We start from the raw sequence: 13705 nt of genomic DNA, 5'->3' as shown, positions 1-13705 counted from the left end.
TGTGTGCCACCGCACCTGGCTAATTTTTAATTTTTTTGTAGAGAGGAGGTCTCACTATGTTGCCCAGGCCGTCTTGAACTCCTGAGCACAGATAGCCCTCCCACCTTGGCCTCCCAAAGAGCTGGAGTTACAGGTGTGAGCCACTGTTGTTTTCTTTACCCATCTCACTTGCTCAGTGGGAATTAAAAACTGGCTGAGAGGGTTCTTTTAACTGACAACAAAATTGAGCATCAAGGGCCATTTGTACCCACTAATGTCCCTATCTGGTCTGAGATCAACGTGAGTCCACCTCATGGTGACCTGAATTCCTGCCATTTACTGGGGGCTCCCTGTAGAAACAATCACAGTGTTATGATCACAGTTGATAGAGAGGCAGCCTCGGCTCAGAGACATTATGTAACTTGTCCTAGGTCACACCGCGGGTAAATCATACAATTTGCTTAGATGCCTCTGAGCTTCCAGCCGCAGTGTCCAGTTACTTAGCTACCCTGCTCCACCTGGGCACATGGCTACCCTGCTCCACCTGGGCACATGGGGGTCTTCTGCGAGTCACCTAAGTTCAACTCCCCCCACACCACCCTGGGCTAGACCTGCCGGGACCATACTACGTCACGTGCTCATCAGAGCTCTCCTTCACCAGATCATGTGCTGCAGATGGCTGGAGGCCATCTGCAACTAGTTTTTGTATTTTTAGTAGAGATAGGGTTTCACCATGTTGGCCAGGCTGGCCTCGAACTCCTGGTCTTATGTGATCCACCCGCCTTGGCCTCCCAAAGCGTTGGGATTACAGGCGTGAGGCACCTGGCTCTGTCCTTGTTGCAACAGTTTAGGCCCTTGTTGCAACAGTTTAGCAAGCTTCATCCTGACTCAGTGGGTAAGGTACTGTGAGTTTCTAAGTCAGTGGTAATCCAAGTGTGGTCCATGGAGCAAAGCTTATTAGAAATGCAGCATCTGGCCAGACACAGTGGTTCACACCTGTAATTACAGCACTTTAGGAGGCCGAGGCAGGAGGACCACTTGAGGCTAGGAGTTCAAGACCAGCCTGGGCAACATAGTGAGACCTTGTATCTACCAAAAATTTAAACATTAGCCAGGTGTGGTGGCACTGTGCCTGTAGACAGAGCTGCTTGGGAGACTGAGGTGGGAGGACTGTTTGAACCTGGGAGGTTGAGGCTGCAGTGAGTTTTGATTGCGCCACTGTACTCCAGCGTGGGTGATGGAGCAAGACTCTGTCTCAAATAATAATAATGATAATAATTTTTAAAAAGATATGCAGCATCTCAGGCCCCACCCCAGACCTACCAAATCAGAATCTCTGAGGATGGGGCGCAGGAATCTGTGTTGTGAAAAGCTCTCCCAGGGATTTCTACACATGCTAAAGTTTAAGAATCGGTGTTCTGGGGGCTCCTGATCGTGGGAATGTGCTGCCCTTTCGGGCTGAGAAAGGTGTATGGTGGAAGAGACTCGAACTCCTAGTTTCTAGCAGTCTCTGCTCCTCCTATGGAAAACACAAGGTCCACCTGAGGCCGGTTCCCAGGTGCCTTGAGGCAGGCACTGCCCTTCCTGTGCCTCAGTTTCCTCTGTGATCCCTTTTTTTTTCTTTTGAGATGGTGTGTTGCTCTGTCACCCAGGCTGGGGTGCGGTGGCACGATCTCGGCTCACTGCAACTTCTGCTTCCTGGGTTCAAGTGATCCTCCTGCCTGGGACTACAGGTGCATGCCACCATGCCCGGCTAATTTTTTTGTACTTTTAGTAGAGACGGGGTTTTGCCATGTTGGCCAGCCTGGTCTGGAACTCCTGACCTCAAGTGATCCGCCCGCCTCAGCCTCCCAAAGTGCTGAGATTAACAGGCGTGAGCCACCACCCCCAGCTTTCCTCTGTGATCCCTTCTGATCGGACCATCTCTGAGCCCATCCAGCACCACCGCAGCGCCAGGGATTCCAGGCTGGACATTGCAGCGATGGTACAGCAGGTGTCAGAACACCACTGGGCAGCCCGTGGCTGGAAGGAAGCAAACAGGACGCATGAGGAGGAGGAGGTGGGCTCCTATAAACAGTGCAGGAAGTAGGCAGGAGGACAGGTCAGAGTGGTCCTCTGTTGTTTGCTATTTCTCATCAAATTACCAGTTAGCGGGAATTCCCATTTGGGTGCCCCTCTGTCTGAGAGAGAGCTGTTCTCCTTTTCCCTTTGCCTATTAAACCTCTGCTCCTAAACTCAAAACAACAACAACAAAACAGCAAGGGAGTAAAATGAAAAAAATCTATTTTTTTTGGCTTTAGTTAAATGGGCTCCCATTCTCCCTCTCTGGTTCTATCTAGAGGAGTCTCCTAAAGAGCCTGGAGTGCCCGTCCTCTAAACTCCACCTTTACAGCCAGAGAGAGTGGCCAGACTCAGGTGGGACCAGGGAGTTCCAGGCCCAAGTTCCTTCCACCAATCCATGGCAAAGGCTACCCACTGGGCTGGGAGAGCAGTCCTGGAGTGAGTTTAGGGTTTAGTATGGTGTGATTAGTGAGCAAATAACTCACTCCTGCACAGTGGCCCCAGGAGGAGATGCCACTATTGGAGGGGAGGGCAGAAAGACAAAGATGGGGCAGGAAGGGGCCAGAGAGATTCTAAAAATCTAGATGTTGGCTAGGCATGGTGGCTCTCATCTGTAATCCTAGCACTTTGGGATGCCAAGGTGGGCAGATCACCTGAAGTCAGGAGTTCGAGACCAGCCTGGCCAATATGGTGAAACCCCATCTCTACTAAAAACACAAAAATTAGCCAGGCGTGGTGGCACATGCCTGTAATCCCAACTACTAAGGAGGCTGAGGCAGGAGAATCTCTTGAACCCAGGTGGTGGAGGTTGAAGTGAGCTGAGATTGCCCCACTGCACTCCAGACTAGGTGACAGAGAGAGACTCTATCTCAAAAAACACAAAATTTAGCCGGGCTTCGTGGCTCATGCCTGTAATCTCAGCACTTTGGGAGGCCAAGGTGGGCAGATCACGAGGTCAGGAGATCGAGACCATCCTGGCTAACACAGTGAAACGCCGTCTCTACTAAAAATACAAAAAATTAGCCGGGCATGGTGGCACGCACCTGTAGTCACAGTTACTTGGGAGGCTGAGGCAGGAGAATCACCCGAACCAGAGAGGCGGAGGTTGCAGTGAGCCAAAATCGCGCCATTGCACTCCAGGCTGGATGACAGAGCGAGACTTCGTCTCAAAAAAAAGAAAACAAAACTAGATGTTTTTAATCAGCAGGGTCTCATAAGGCATGCGAAATTGCTTAAGGATTTAACAGATGGTATCTCAGGTTGCTGTTATTTTTGAGAACTCTTTTCGACAGAAGAAATCCCTAAGAACCAGGAGATAGTCTGTGAACCTGCTTTGAGGTTACAAAGGAGGTGGTGTCTGTCAGTCACTTGCAAAGAGCTGATAACTTGAGCAAACATGTTAAATAAAGTCCCATTGGACTCCTGTTGTCCAGCGTCATACTTCTTTTTTTAGCAATGACCACAGCTGAAGAAATTCCAGGAGACTAACTTATGTGTATAGTGACACTCCCTGTGGCTTTCCCCACCACACTCCAGCCTGGGGAAAGCTACATGCGCAGGGAAAGGGGGAAATGACACAACCACGAGATGACTCTGGCTTAAATAACTTTGACCAGACTCAGGAAACAGCTGAGCCAAGGGGGTCCATGCTGTGAATGTGACTTAACTGGTGTCTCCAGCCTGCTCAGGCTCCTGAGTGCCAGGCCCACACTGCTGTCTCTGGTCACACATCCTTAGATGTCCCAAAGGCACCTCAAGTTCCCCAGCCCGCCCTGCTGCCCTCAGCTCCCAGCCCAGGCCGATGCCTCAGAGGAGCTCTCCCTCTTCACCCCCGCCATGCCAAAAGAGTCTCTAACTCCTCTTAACCCTTTGAAAGATTTCTACTCCTTCCCAATTTTTTAGAGATGGGGGTCTCACTATGCTGCCCAGGCTGGTCTCGAATTCCTGGGCTCAAGTGATCCTCCTGTCTCAGCCTCCCAAAGTGCTGGGGTTACAGGCATGAGCTACTGCATCTGGCCTCGACTCCCTCTTTACCAATCCTAACAGCACAGCCCTGGTCCTGTCTCAGATCTGAACATGTACTTTAACTTTTTTTTTTTTTGAGACAGAGTCTTGCTCTATCGCCCAGGCTGGAGTGCAGTGGCAAGATCTCGGGTCACTGCGATGTCTGCTTCCCGGGTTTAAGCAATTCTCTGCCTCAGCCTCCCGAGTAGCTGGGATTACAGGCACCCGCCATCACACCCGGCTAATTTTTTGTATTTTTAGTAGAGATGGGGTTTCACCATCTTGGCCAGGCTAGTCTTGAACTCCTGATCTCATGATCTGCCTGCCTCGGCCTCCCAAAGTGCTGGGATTACAGGCGTGAGCCACCGCGCCTGGCCCAGGTACTTTAACTTTTGGCAGTACAATTCTCCCCAAGTCTCCCTGCTCCTCAGTGGCTTCCCAGTCCTCTGCAGAACCAGGGCAAGCTCCCTCCCGCAGCCTGCAAGGCTTGCAGGCGTGCACCTTCTCTTGGTTCCGTAAGCACATCAGGCTCCCTCCCACCACAAGACGTTTGCACATGCCCTTCTTTTTTGTTTTTTGAGACAGTCTCGCTCTGTTGCCCAGGCTGTAGTGCAGTGGCAGGATCAAAGCCCACTGCAGCCCCAACCTCTCAGGCTCAAGTATCCTCCCACCTTAGCCTCCCAAGTAGCTGGGATTACAAGTGTGTGCCACCTTGCCCAGCTAATTTTTATTTATATTTTATTTATTTATTTATTTATTTTTTTGGAGACAGAGTTTTACTCTCGTTGCCCAGGCTGGAATGCAATGGTGTGATCTTGGCTCACCGCAACTTCCACCTCCTGGGTTCAAGTGATTCTCCTGTCTCACCTCCCGAGTAGCTGGGATTACAGATATGTGCCACCATACCCGGCTCATTTTGTATTTTTAGTAGAGACGGGATTTCTCCATGTTGGTCAGGCTGGTCTCAAACTCCTGACCTCAGGTGATCCGCCCGCCTCGGCCTCCCAAAGTGCTGGGATTACAGGCATGAGCCACTATGCCCAGCCTAATTTTATTTATTTATTTATTTATTTTTGAGAGTTTTGCTCGTCGCCCAGGCTGGAGTGCAGTGGCTTGATCTCGGCTCATGTAACCCACCTCCCTGGTTCAAGCAATTCTCCTGTCTCAGCCTCCTCAATAGCTGGGATTACAGGTGCCCACCACCAAGCCTGGCTAATTTTTTGTATTTTTAGTAGAGACAGGGTTTCACCATGTTGGCCAGGATGGTCTGAAACTCCTGACCTCAGGTGATCCACCTGCCTCGGCCTCCCAAAGTGCTGGAATTACAGGCATGAGCCACTGCATCCAGCCTAATTTTTAATTTTTTTTTTTTTTTGTAAAAATGGGGTCTCATTATGTTGCCCAGGCTGTTTTTGAACTCCTGGGCTTAAGTGATCGTCTTGCCTCGGCCTCCCACAGTGCTGAGATTACAGGCATGAGACACTGTGCCCAGCCGCACATGCCCTCTGCCTGCCTGTGTGCCTCCCACCCAGCCTTCAGCTCTCAGTTCAGCCACACTTCCTTATGGAAACCTTGATCACATTCCTTTGACTTATGCCTGTTGTTTGGAATCACCTGGGGAGTTTGTGAAAATACAAATTGCTGGGTCCCACCCTCGAGTTTCTGGTTCAGTAGGCTTGGGGCGGGTCCAAGATTTGCCTTCCATTATGTTAGAGATAGGGTCTTACTATGTTGCCCAGATGCTGCTGCTGCTGCTGCTGAGAGCAACGCCTTGAGAACCACTGGCCCATGTTCTCACACTGTCCCCCTTCATCATTCTATAATGACACACTCTCATTCGTGTAACCCTTAGGTTATATCTGTCTCTCCTCTAAACTATGAGGTCTGGGAAGCAGAGACCCCTGTGTTAGCTCTTGTCAAAACTCTAGCTGGTAGACCGGGCGTGGTGGCTCACGCCTGTAATCCCAGCACTTTGGGAGGCCAAGGCAGGCAGATCACAAGGTCAGGAGATCAAGACCATCCTGGCTAACATGGTGAAACCCTGTCTCTACTAAAAATACAAAAAATTAGCCGGGCATGGTGGCGGGCACCTGTAGTCCCAGCTACTCGGGAGGCTGAGGCAGGAGAATGGCGTGAACCCGGGAGGCAGAGCTTGCAGTGAGCCGAGATTGCGCCACTGCACTCCAGCCTGGGCGACAGAGCAAGACTCCGTCTCAAAAAAACAAAACAAAACAAAACAAAACAAAACTCTAGCTGGCATACAGAGGTGCTCAGTAAATAGTTGTTGGCTGGGTGCAATGGCTCACACCTGTGATCCCAGCACTTTGGGAGGCCAGGATGGGAGGATCACTTGAGCCTAGGGGTTTGAGACCAGCCTGGAAAACATAGCGAGACCCCCGTCTCTGCAAAAATACAAAAAAATGGCCAAGCGCAGTGGCTCATGCTGTAATCCCAGCACTTTGGGAGGCCGAGGTGGGCGGATCACCTGAGGTCAGGAGTTTGAGACCAGCCCGGCCAACAGAGTGAAACCCCGTCTCTACTAAAAATATAAAAATTAGCCAGGTACGGTGGTGCATGCCTGTAGTCTCAGTCACTTGGGAGGCTGAGGCAGGAGAATCGCTTGAACCTGGGAACTGGAGGTTGCAGTGAGTCAGGATAATGCCACTGCACTCCAGCCTGGGTGACGGAGTGAGACTCCGTCTCAAAAAAAAAAACAAAAAAAAAAAACACCAAAAAAAATCCCAAAAACTTACCTGGGTATGGTGGCATGCAGCTGTGGCCTCAGCTCCTCAGGAGGCTGAGATGGGAGGATCGCTTGTGCCTGGGAGGTTGAGGCTGCAGTGAGCCATGAAGACGTATTGCACTCCAGCCTGGGCAACAGAGCAAGACACTGTCTCAAAAATAAGTAAATAAATAAATAGTTGTTGAACAAATGAGTGAATGAATAAATAAAAGGAAGCAAGCTGGTCTTCCCCACTTACCCTGTGGCAGGCTGGTGCTCCAGAATTTATGTAGTCCCCGCCTACTGGAAAGCAATTAGATTCTCTATCAGTGATAATAAACATAATTTTTAACTTTGGGAAGCTGAGGTGGAATAAGAATTAAAAGAAATTTAAAAATGTGTAAGCAGGCCGGGCGCCGTGGCTCATGCCTGTAATCCCAGCACTTTGGGAGGCTGAGGTGGGCAGATCACCTGAGGTCAGGAGTTAGAGAACATCCTGGCTAACACGGTGAAACCCCATCTCTACTAAAAATACAAAAAATTAGCTGGGTGTGGTGGTGGCGGGCGCCTGTAGTCCCAGCTACTCGGGAGGCTGAGGCAGGAGAATGGCGTGAACCCGGGAGGCAGAGCTTGCAGTGAGCCGAGATCGTGCCACCGCACTCCAGCCTGGGCCACAGAGCAAGACTCCACCTCAAAAAAAAAAAAAAAAAAATTGACTGCCTGTCTTTCTGTGGCTAGTGAGCCTTATCTCTCCCTTTCCCAGGCATTGTGAACTCTGTTTCTCTAGCTGTGCAGCTGCAAGGTCACTAAACAGATAATCTCAAGTCATAAAACATGCTGTTCCTTGAAAAGTTAGAAATAATGTAATGCATGTCTTAAATAACTGTCTTTGTTTCTCGTTTCTGTAATATGCTTCCCCCTGCACAAATCTCCCCCCATCCCACTAAATGCTTAAAAGGTAACCGGACTCCTTGTTCGGGGCTCAGTCCTTTGGATGTTAATCCGACTGGGTCGGTGCACCTAAATAATTAAATAAATCCTCTTCAACCCCTGGGTCTCTCTGATTCCTTAATTATCCCGCTGCAGAGGCAGGAAGATTGCTTAAGGCCAGGAGTTTGAGACTGCAGTGAGCCATGGTCTTGCCACTGCTCTCCAGCCTGGGCGACAGAAGGAGACCCTGTCTCAATAAACAAACAAACAAACATAGTTTTAAAACCATTGCTAACTTTGCAAAAAGTAAGGGAATTTCCCAAGGATCCCTTCAAAACAAGAAAGGGTGTAAATCAGGGTGTTGGAACTGGGGCAGCCCCTGGGCCAAATGCTGATAACTCCATGACCTTGGAGATTAAGGAACCACGGGGAACAAATTAGACCTTGAGTCCACATATGGTGGGGCAGCTGAAACCAAGGCTCATAGTAGATTCCTATGGATCCTGGAAGGGGCTACCCATGCAGTGAAAGGTAGACCAGAAAACCTCCACCCACCAGTAAAGGGAATTGATAAACAAACCCTGCCCCTTTCCTTTGTGGTGGAAAAAACTTAGGAATACTTGGACCCATGAATTCAGAACGACCTGCCTGCTCCCTGTACTCCCTTCAGGTCTGGGATGTCGGCCTCTAGGAAACGAATGTATCATGCTAGTAGTGTCCCCTTGTGTCTTGTGGGAGTAACTACACATTTTTCTTTTTCTTTTCTTTTTTTTTCCAAGAAGGAGTCTTGCTCTGTCACCCAGGCTGGAGTGCAATGGTGCGATCTTGGCTCACTGCAAACTCTGCCTCCCAGGTTCAAGCAATTCTCCTGCCTCAGCCTCCCGAGTGGCTGGGATTACAGGCGCCCGCCACCATGCCTGGCTAATTTTTGTATTTTTTAGTAAAGACAGGGTTTCACCATGTTGCTCAGGCTGGTCTTGAACTCCTGACCTCAGGTAATCCACCTGCCTCAGCCTCCCAAAGTGCTGGGATTGCAGGCATGAGCCACCGCGCCCGGCAACTACACATTTTTCAAACAGGACGCATTCTAAATCAGGATCTTCGGGTTTTCCAGAGATTAAGTCCAACTAATAAAAAATTCCCTCACACAACTCAATAGCAAAAACCAAATCACTCAATTTAAAAATGGGTGGCCAGGTGGCTCACGCCTGTAATCCCAGCACTTTGGGAGGCCGAGGTAGGCAGATCACCTGAGGTCAGGAGTTCAAGACCAGCCTGGCTAACATGGTGAAACCCCATTTCTACTAAAAATACAAAAAATTAGCTGGGCATGGTGGCACGTACCTGTAATCCCAGCTACACGGGAGGCTGAGGCAGAAGAATCACTTAAACCCAGGAGGTGGAGGTTTCGGTGAGCTGAGATCACCATTGCACTACAGCTTGGGCAACAAGAGCAAAACTCTGTCTCAAAAAAAAAAAAAAAAAAAGGCAAAGGAACTACACAGATATTTTTTGAAAGAAGACATACAAATGGCCAACAAGTTTACAAAAAAGTGTGCAACATCACCAATCATCAGAGAAATGGAAATCAGAACCACAATATCACCTTCCATCGGCCTAGAAAAGAAAAGATAGGCCGGGCGTGGTGGCTCAAGCCTGTAATCCCAGCACTTTGGGAGGCTGAGGCAGGCGGATCACAAGGTGAGGAGATCAAGACCATCCTGGTTAACACGGTGAAACCCCGTCTCTCCTAAAAATACAAAAAAAAGGCCGGGCGCGGTGGCTCACGCCTGTAATCCGAGCACTTTGGGAGGCCGAGGCGGGCGGATCACGAGGTCAGGAGATCGAGACCATCCTGGCTAACACGGTGAAACCCCGTCTCTACTAAAAACACAAAAAATTAGCCGGGCGTGGTAGCGGGCGCGGTAGCGGGCGCCGTAGCGGGCGCCTGTAGTCCCAGCTACTCGGGAGGCTGAGGCAGGAGAATGGCGTGAACCTGGGAGGCGGAGCTTGCAGTGAGCCGAGATCGCGCCACTGCACTCCAGCCTGGGCGACAGAGCGAGACTCCGTCTCAAAAAAAAAAAAAAAAAAAAAAAAATCAGCGGCCGGGCGCGGTGGCTCACACCTGTAATCCCAGCACTTTTGGAGGCCGAGGCGGGCGGATCACGAGGGCAGGAGATCGAGACCATCCTGGCTAACACAGTGAAACCCCATCTCTACTAAAAATACAAAAAATTAGCCAGGTGCGGTGGCGGGCGCCCGTAGTCCCAGCTCCTCGGGAGGCTGAGGCAGGAGAATGGCGTGAACCTGGGAGGCGGAGCTTGCAGTGAGCTGAGATCGCACCACTGCACTCCAGCCTGGGCGACAGGGCGAGACTCTGTCTCAAAAAAAAAGAAAAAAAAAAAAGATAACGAGTGTTGGTGAAGGTGTGGAGAAAAAGGAACCCTTGCACGCTGTTGGTGGGGACGTACTTGGTTCAGTTGTTACAGAAAACAGTGTAGAATTTCCTCAAAAAATGCAACATAGAACTACCATATGATCCAGCCATTCCATTTCTGGGTATATATTTAAAGGGACTGGGTCAGGTGTTGTGGCTCATGCCTGTAATCCCAGCACTCTGGGAGGCGGAGGCAGGTGGGTCACCTGAGGTCAGGAGTTTGAGACCAGCCTGGCTAACATGGTCAAACACCGTCTCTACTAAATTAGCTGGGCGTAGTGGTGTGCACCTGTAATCCCAGGTACTAGAGAGGCTGAGGCAGGAGAATCACTTGAACCTGGGAGGCAGAGGTTGCAGTGAGCCAAGATCGCGCCATTGCGCTCCAGCCTGGGCAACAAGAGGGAAAACACCATCTAAAAACATAATAATAATAAAATAAATAAGTAAACAAATAAATAAATAAAACAGTGCCTGGCCAGTAGTAAGCACTTTAGAAATATTGATTTGTTTAAAGGGCCTTAAGAGGAGCAATCCTGTCTGTCTTGTTCTCTGACGTATATTACAGGTAATTTTCTATTTCTCTCTCTAGTTTGAGGGCAGTTTAGGAACAGGACTGTGTCTTCCTTATCTTTGTTGCCTGGGAGCCTTAGGTGCCATCTGAACATAGAGGGTGTTCATTAGAGGCTTGGAAATACACTGAAATAACACATAACGTCTTTGTCCTTCCCTCCCCTGCCTTGCTCTGCATGTGGCAACACTTGCATAATTGGATAGGATTGCCTGGCCTTGATAAAAGATGAGGTCTGTTGGGAATAGTAGATGCTGCCTTTGCTGCCTCTCTTTCCTTTCTATCCCACCTCTTAGGATGTCCAAGCAACTGTGGGAGCTTCCTAACTTACTTGGTCCTGAATTTCCACATTTGTTCCCCATCTGCCGATCTGTTCTTCACGCAGCAACTAGAATGAGACTTTTTAAAAACATAAAACATAGGCCAGGTGTGGTGGCTCACGCCTGTAATCCCAGCACTTTGGGAGGTGAGGCAGGTGGATCACCTGAGGTCAGGAGTTCGAGACCAGCCTGGCCAACATGATGAAACCCCGTCTCTACTAAAAATACAAAAAATTAGCCAGGCTAGGTGGCGTGCGCCTGTAATCCCAGCTACTCGGGAGGCTGAGGCAAGATAATCGCTTGAACCAGGGAGGCGGAGGTTGCAGTGAGCCGAGATCAGGCCACTACACTCCACCCTGGGTGGCAGAGTGAAACTCCGTCTCAAAAACAAAACAAAACGAAACAAAACAAAAACATAGGCTGGGCGCAATGGCTCACACCTGTAATCCCAGCACTTTGGGAGGCTGAGGGATTGCTTGAGACCAGGAGTTTGAGACCAGCCTGGCCAAGATGGAGAGACACCCTCTCTACCAAAAAAAAAATTTTTTAATTAGCCAGGTATGGTGGTGTACACTTGTATATTTGTAGTCCCAGCCACTCAGGAGACTGAGAAGTGAGGGTTGCTTGAGCTCAGGAATTTGAGGTGGCAGTGGGCCATGATTGTGCCACTGTACTCCAGCCTGGGCACCCAAGTGAGACTCTGTCTTTAAAGAAAAAACAAAAAACCAAAAACACACACATGAAACATATCTTGCGGCTGGGCGCGATCGCTCACGCCTGTAATCCCAGCACTTTTGGAGCCCCAGATGGACGAATCATGAGGTCAGGAGTTTGAGACCAGCCTGACCAACATGGTGAAACCCTGTCTCTACTAAAAATACACACACACACACAAAATAGCTGGGCGTAGTGGCGGGCACTTGTAATCCCAGCTACTCAGGAGGCTGAGGCAGGAGAATCGCTTGAACCCAGGAGGCAGAAGTTGCAGTGAACTGAGATTGCGCCGCTACACTCCAGCCCTGGAGACAGAGTGAGACTTCGTCTCAAACAAAAAACAAAACAAAAAAACATATCTTGTTCCTCCTTTATCTGAACCACACAGCCCCAACCCACCCTGCAAAAAAAAAAAAAAAAAAAAAAAAAAAAGGCAAACCAACTTCCTATTTTGCTTAGAATGCAACCTAAACACTCCCTGGTGAAAGGCCCCTGTCCACCTCTCTGACCTCCTCCCCTCCTTGGCCTCCCTCACTTGCGGCCACAGGCACTGCTTTCTGTTTCTTAACCCTGTGAAGCTGTTTCTAACCACCTGGATTGGTACCCACAGTTCCCTTTGCAGAGAAATTCACAACGCAGCTCACAGGTCATTTTCCTGACTACGCACCCTGTCACTCTCTCTGACATCATTATTTTATTTTCATCTTGACACCTTTCGCTGTCTGAAATGACTGTGCTCATGGGTTTAATGTCTGCTCTTGCTCTCCCTCTTCTAAAAAGTAAGGGCCTTGGCTGGGCATGGTGGCTCACGCCTGTAATCCCAGCACTTTGGAAGGCCGACTCAGGCTGATCGCCTGAGGTTGGGAGTTCGAGACCAGCCTGATCAACATTGGAGAAACCCTGTCTCTACTGAAAATATAAAACTAGCCAGGCGTGGTGGCGCACGCCTGCAATCCCAGCTACTCAGGAGGCTGAGGCAGGAAAATCACTTGAACCCGGGAGGCGGAGGTTGTGGTGAGCTGAGATGGCGCCACTGCACTCCAGCCTGGGCAACGAGAGCAAAACTCTGTCTGAAAAAACACAGCAAAACAAAACAAGACAAAAAACAAACAACAACAAAAAAAGTAAGGGCCCTGACAGACGGGATCCTCTCTGTCTTGTTCACCATTGACTTTAAGGTCCCAGAACAGGGCCTGAGCCACAAGCTAAGCATTCGGGAATACTGCTTGCACGAGCAGATGAAGTTACCTGCAATTGGGAAATGTCTGCCATATGATAGCGATTCAAGGAAGGAAGAGATTAATTATGGCTCTTTTTAAAAAGCTCCGGGAAGAGGCCAGCTGTACAGCATTGTGTTATATTCTGCTACTTTGACAGGAGTGGGACACCTGAGGACAGAGAGCTAATCTATCTGCTCTCTGTTGCTTTGGTAAGACCTGTAGAGATTGTGTATTTTTTTATTTTTTTAAATGGAGTTTTGCTCTTGTTGCCTAGGCTGGAGTGCAATGGCGTGATCTCGACTCACCACAACCACCACCTCTCGGGTTCAAGTGATTCTCCTGCCTCAGCCTCCTGAGTAGCTGGGATTATAGGCATGCGCCACCACGCCCGGCTAATTTTGTATTTTCAGTAGAGACGGGGTTTTCTCCATGTTGGTCAGGCTGGTCTCGAACTCCTGACCTCAGGTGATCTGCCCGCCTCGGCCTCCCAAAGTGCTGGGATTACAGGTGTGAGCCACCACGCCCAGCCTGTAATTTTGATTTCAACATTTAGAAAGAGATATAGGGCCAGGCGCAGTGGCTCACGCCTGTAATCCCAGCACTTGGGAGGCCGAGGTGGGTGGATCACCTGAGGTCAGGAGTTTGAGACCAGCCTGACCAACATGGAGAAACGCCATCTCTACTAAAAATACAAAATTAGCTGGGCGTGGTGGCGCGTGCCTGTAATCCCAGCTACTCTGGAGGCTGAGG

The 13705-nt window shown here is 49.7% G+C and overlaps 1 protein-coding gene across 1 annotated transcript in view, besides 1 other annotated feature; it reads right to left on the bottom strand.

Moving 5' to 3' along the window:
- Positions 1–6815, bottom strand: part of FRMD8 (FERM domain containing 8) — a 45500-nt gene extending 38685 nt beyond the window's left edge. Inside the window, exon 1 of the mRNA XM_047427684.1 lies at positions 6798–6815. The gene's annotated coding sequence lies outside the window, so the exon portion shown is untranslated. The remainder of the gene's footprint in view (positions 1–6797) is intronic.
- Positions 10749–11043: a silencer, noted in NCBI's record as "tiled region #3865; HepG2 Repressive DNase matched - State 23:Low". NCBI's record gives its function as "represses a minimal TATA promoter and a strong SV40 promoter by Sharpr-MPRA in HepG2 cells {active_cell/tissue: HepG2}" and the evidence as "EXISTENCE:reporter gene assay evidence [ECO:0000049][PMID:27701403]".

Source organism: Homo sapiens, chromosome 11 (genome assembly GCF_000001405.40).
Source record: "Homo sapiens chromosome 11, GRCh38.p14 Primary Assembly".
NCBI lineage: Eukaryota > Metazoa > Chordata > Mammalia > Primates > Hominidae > Homo > Homo sapiens.
This window is presented reverse-complemented; position numbering and strand designations above follow the sequence as displayed.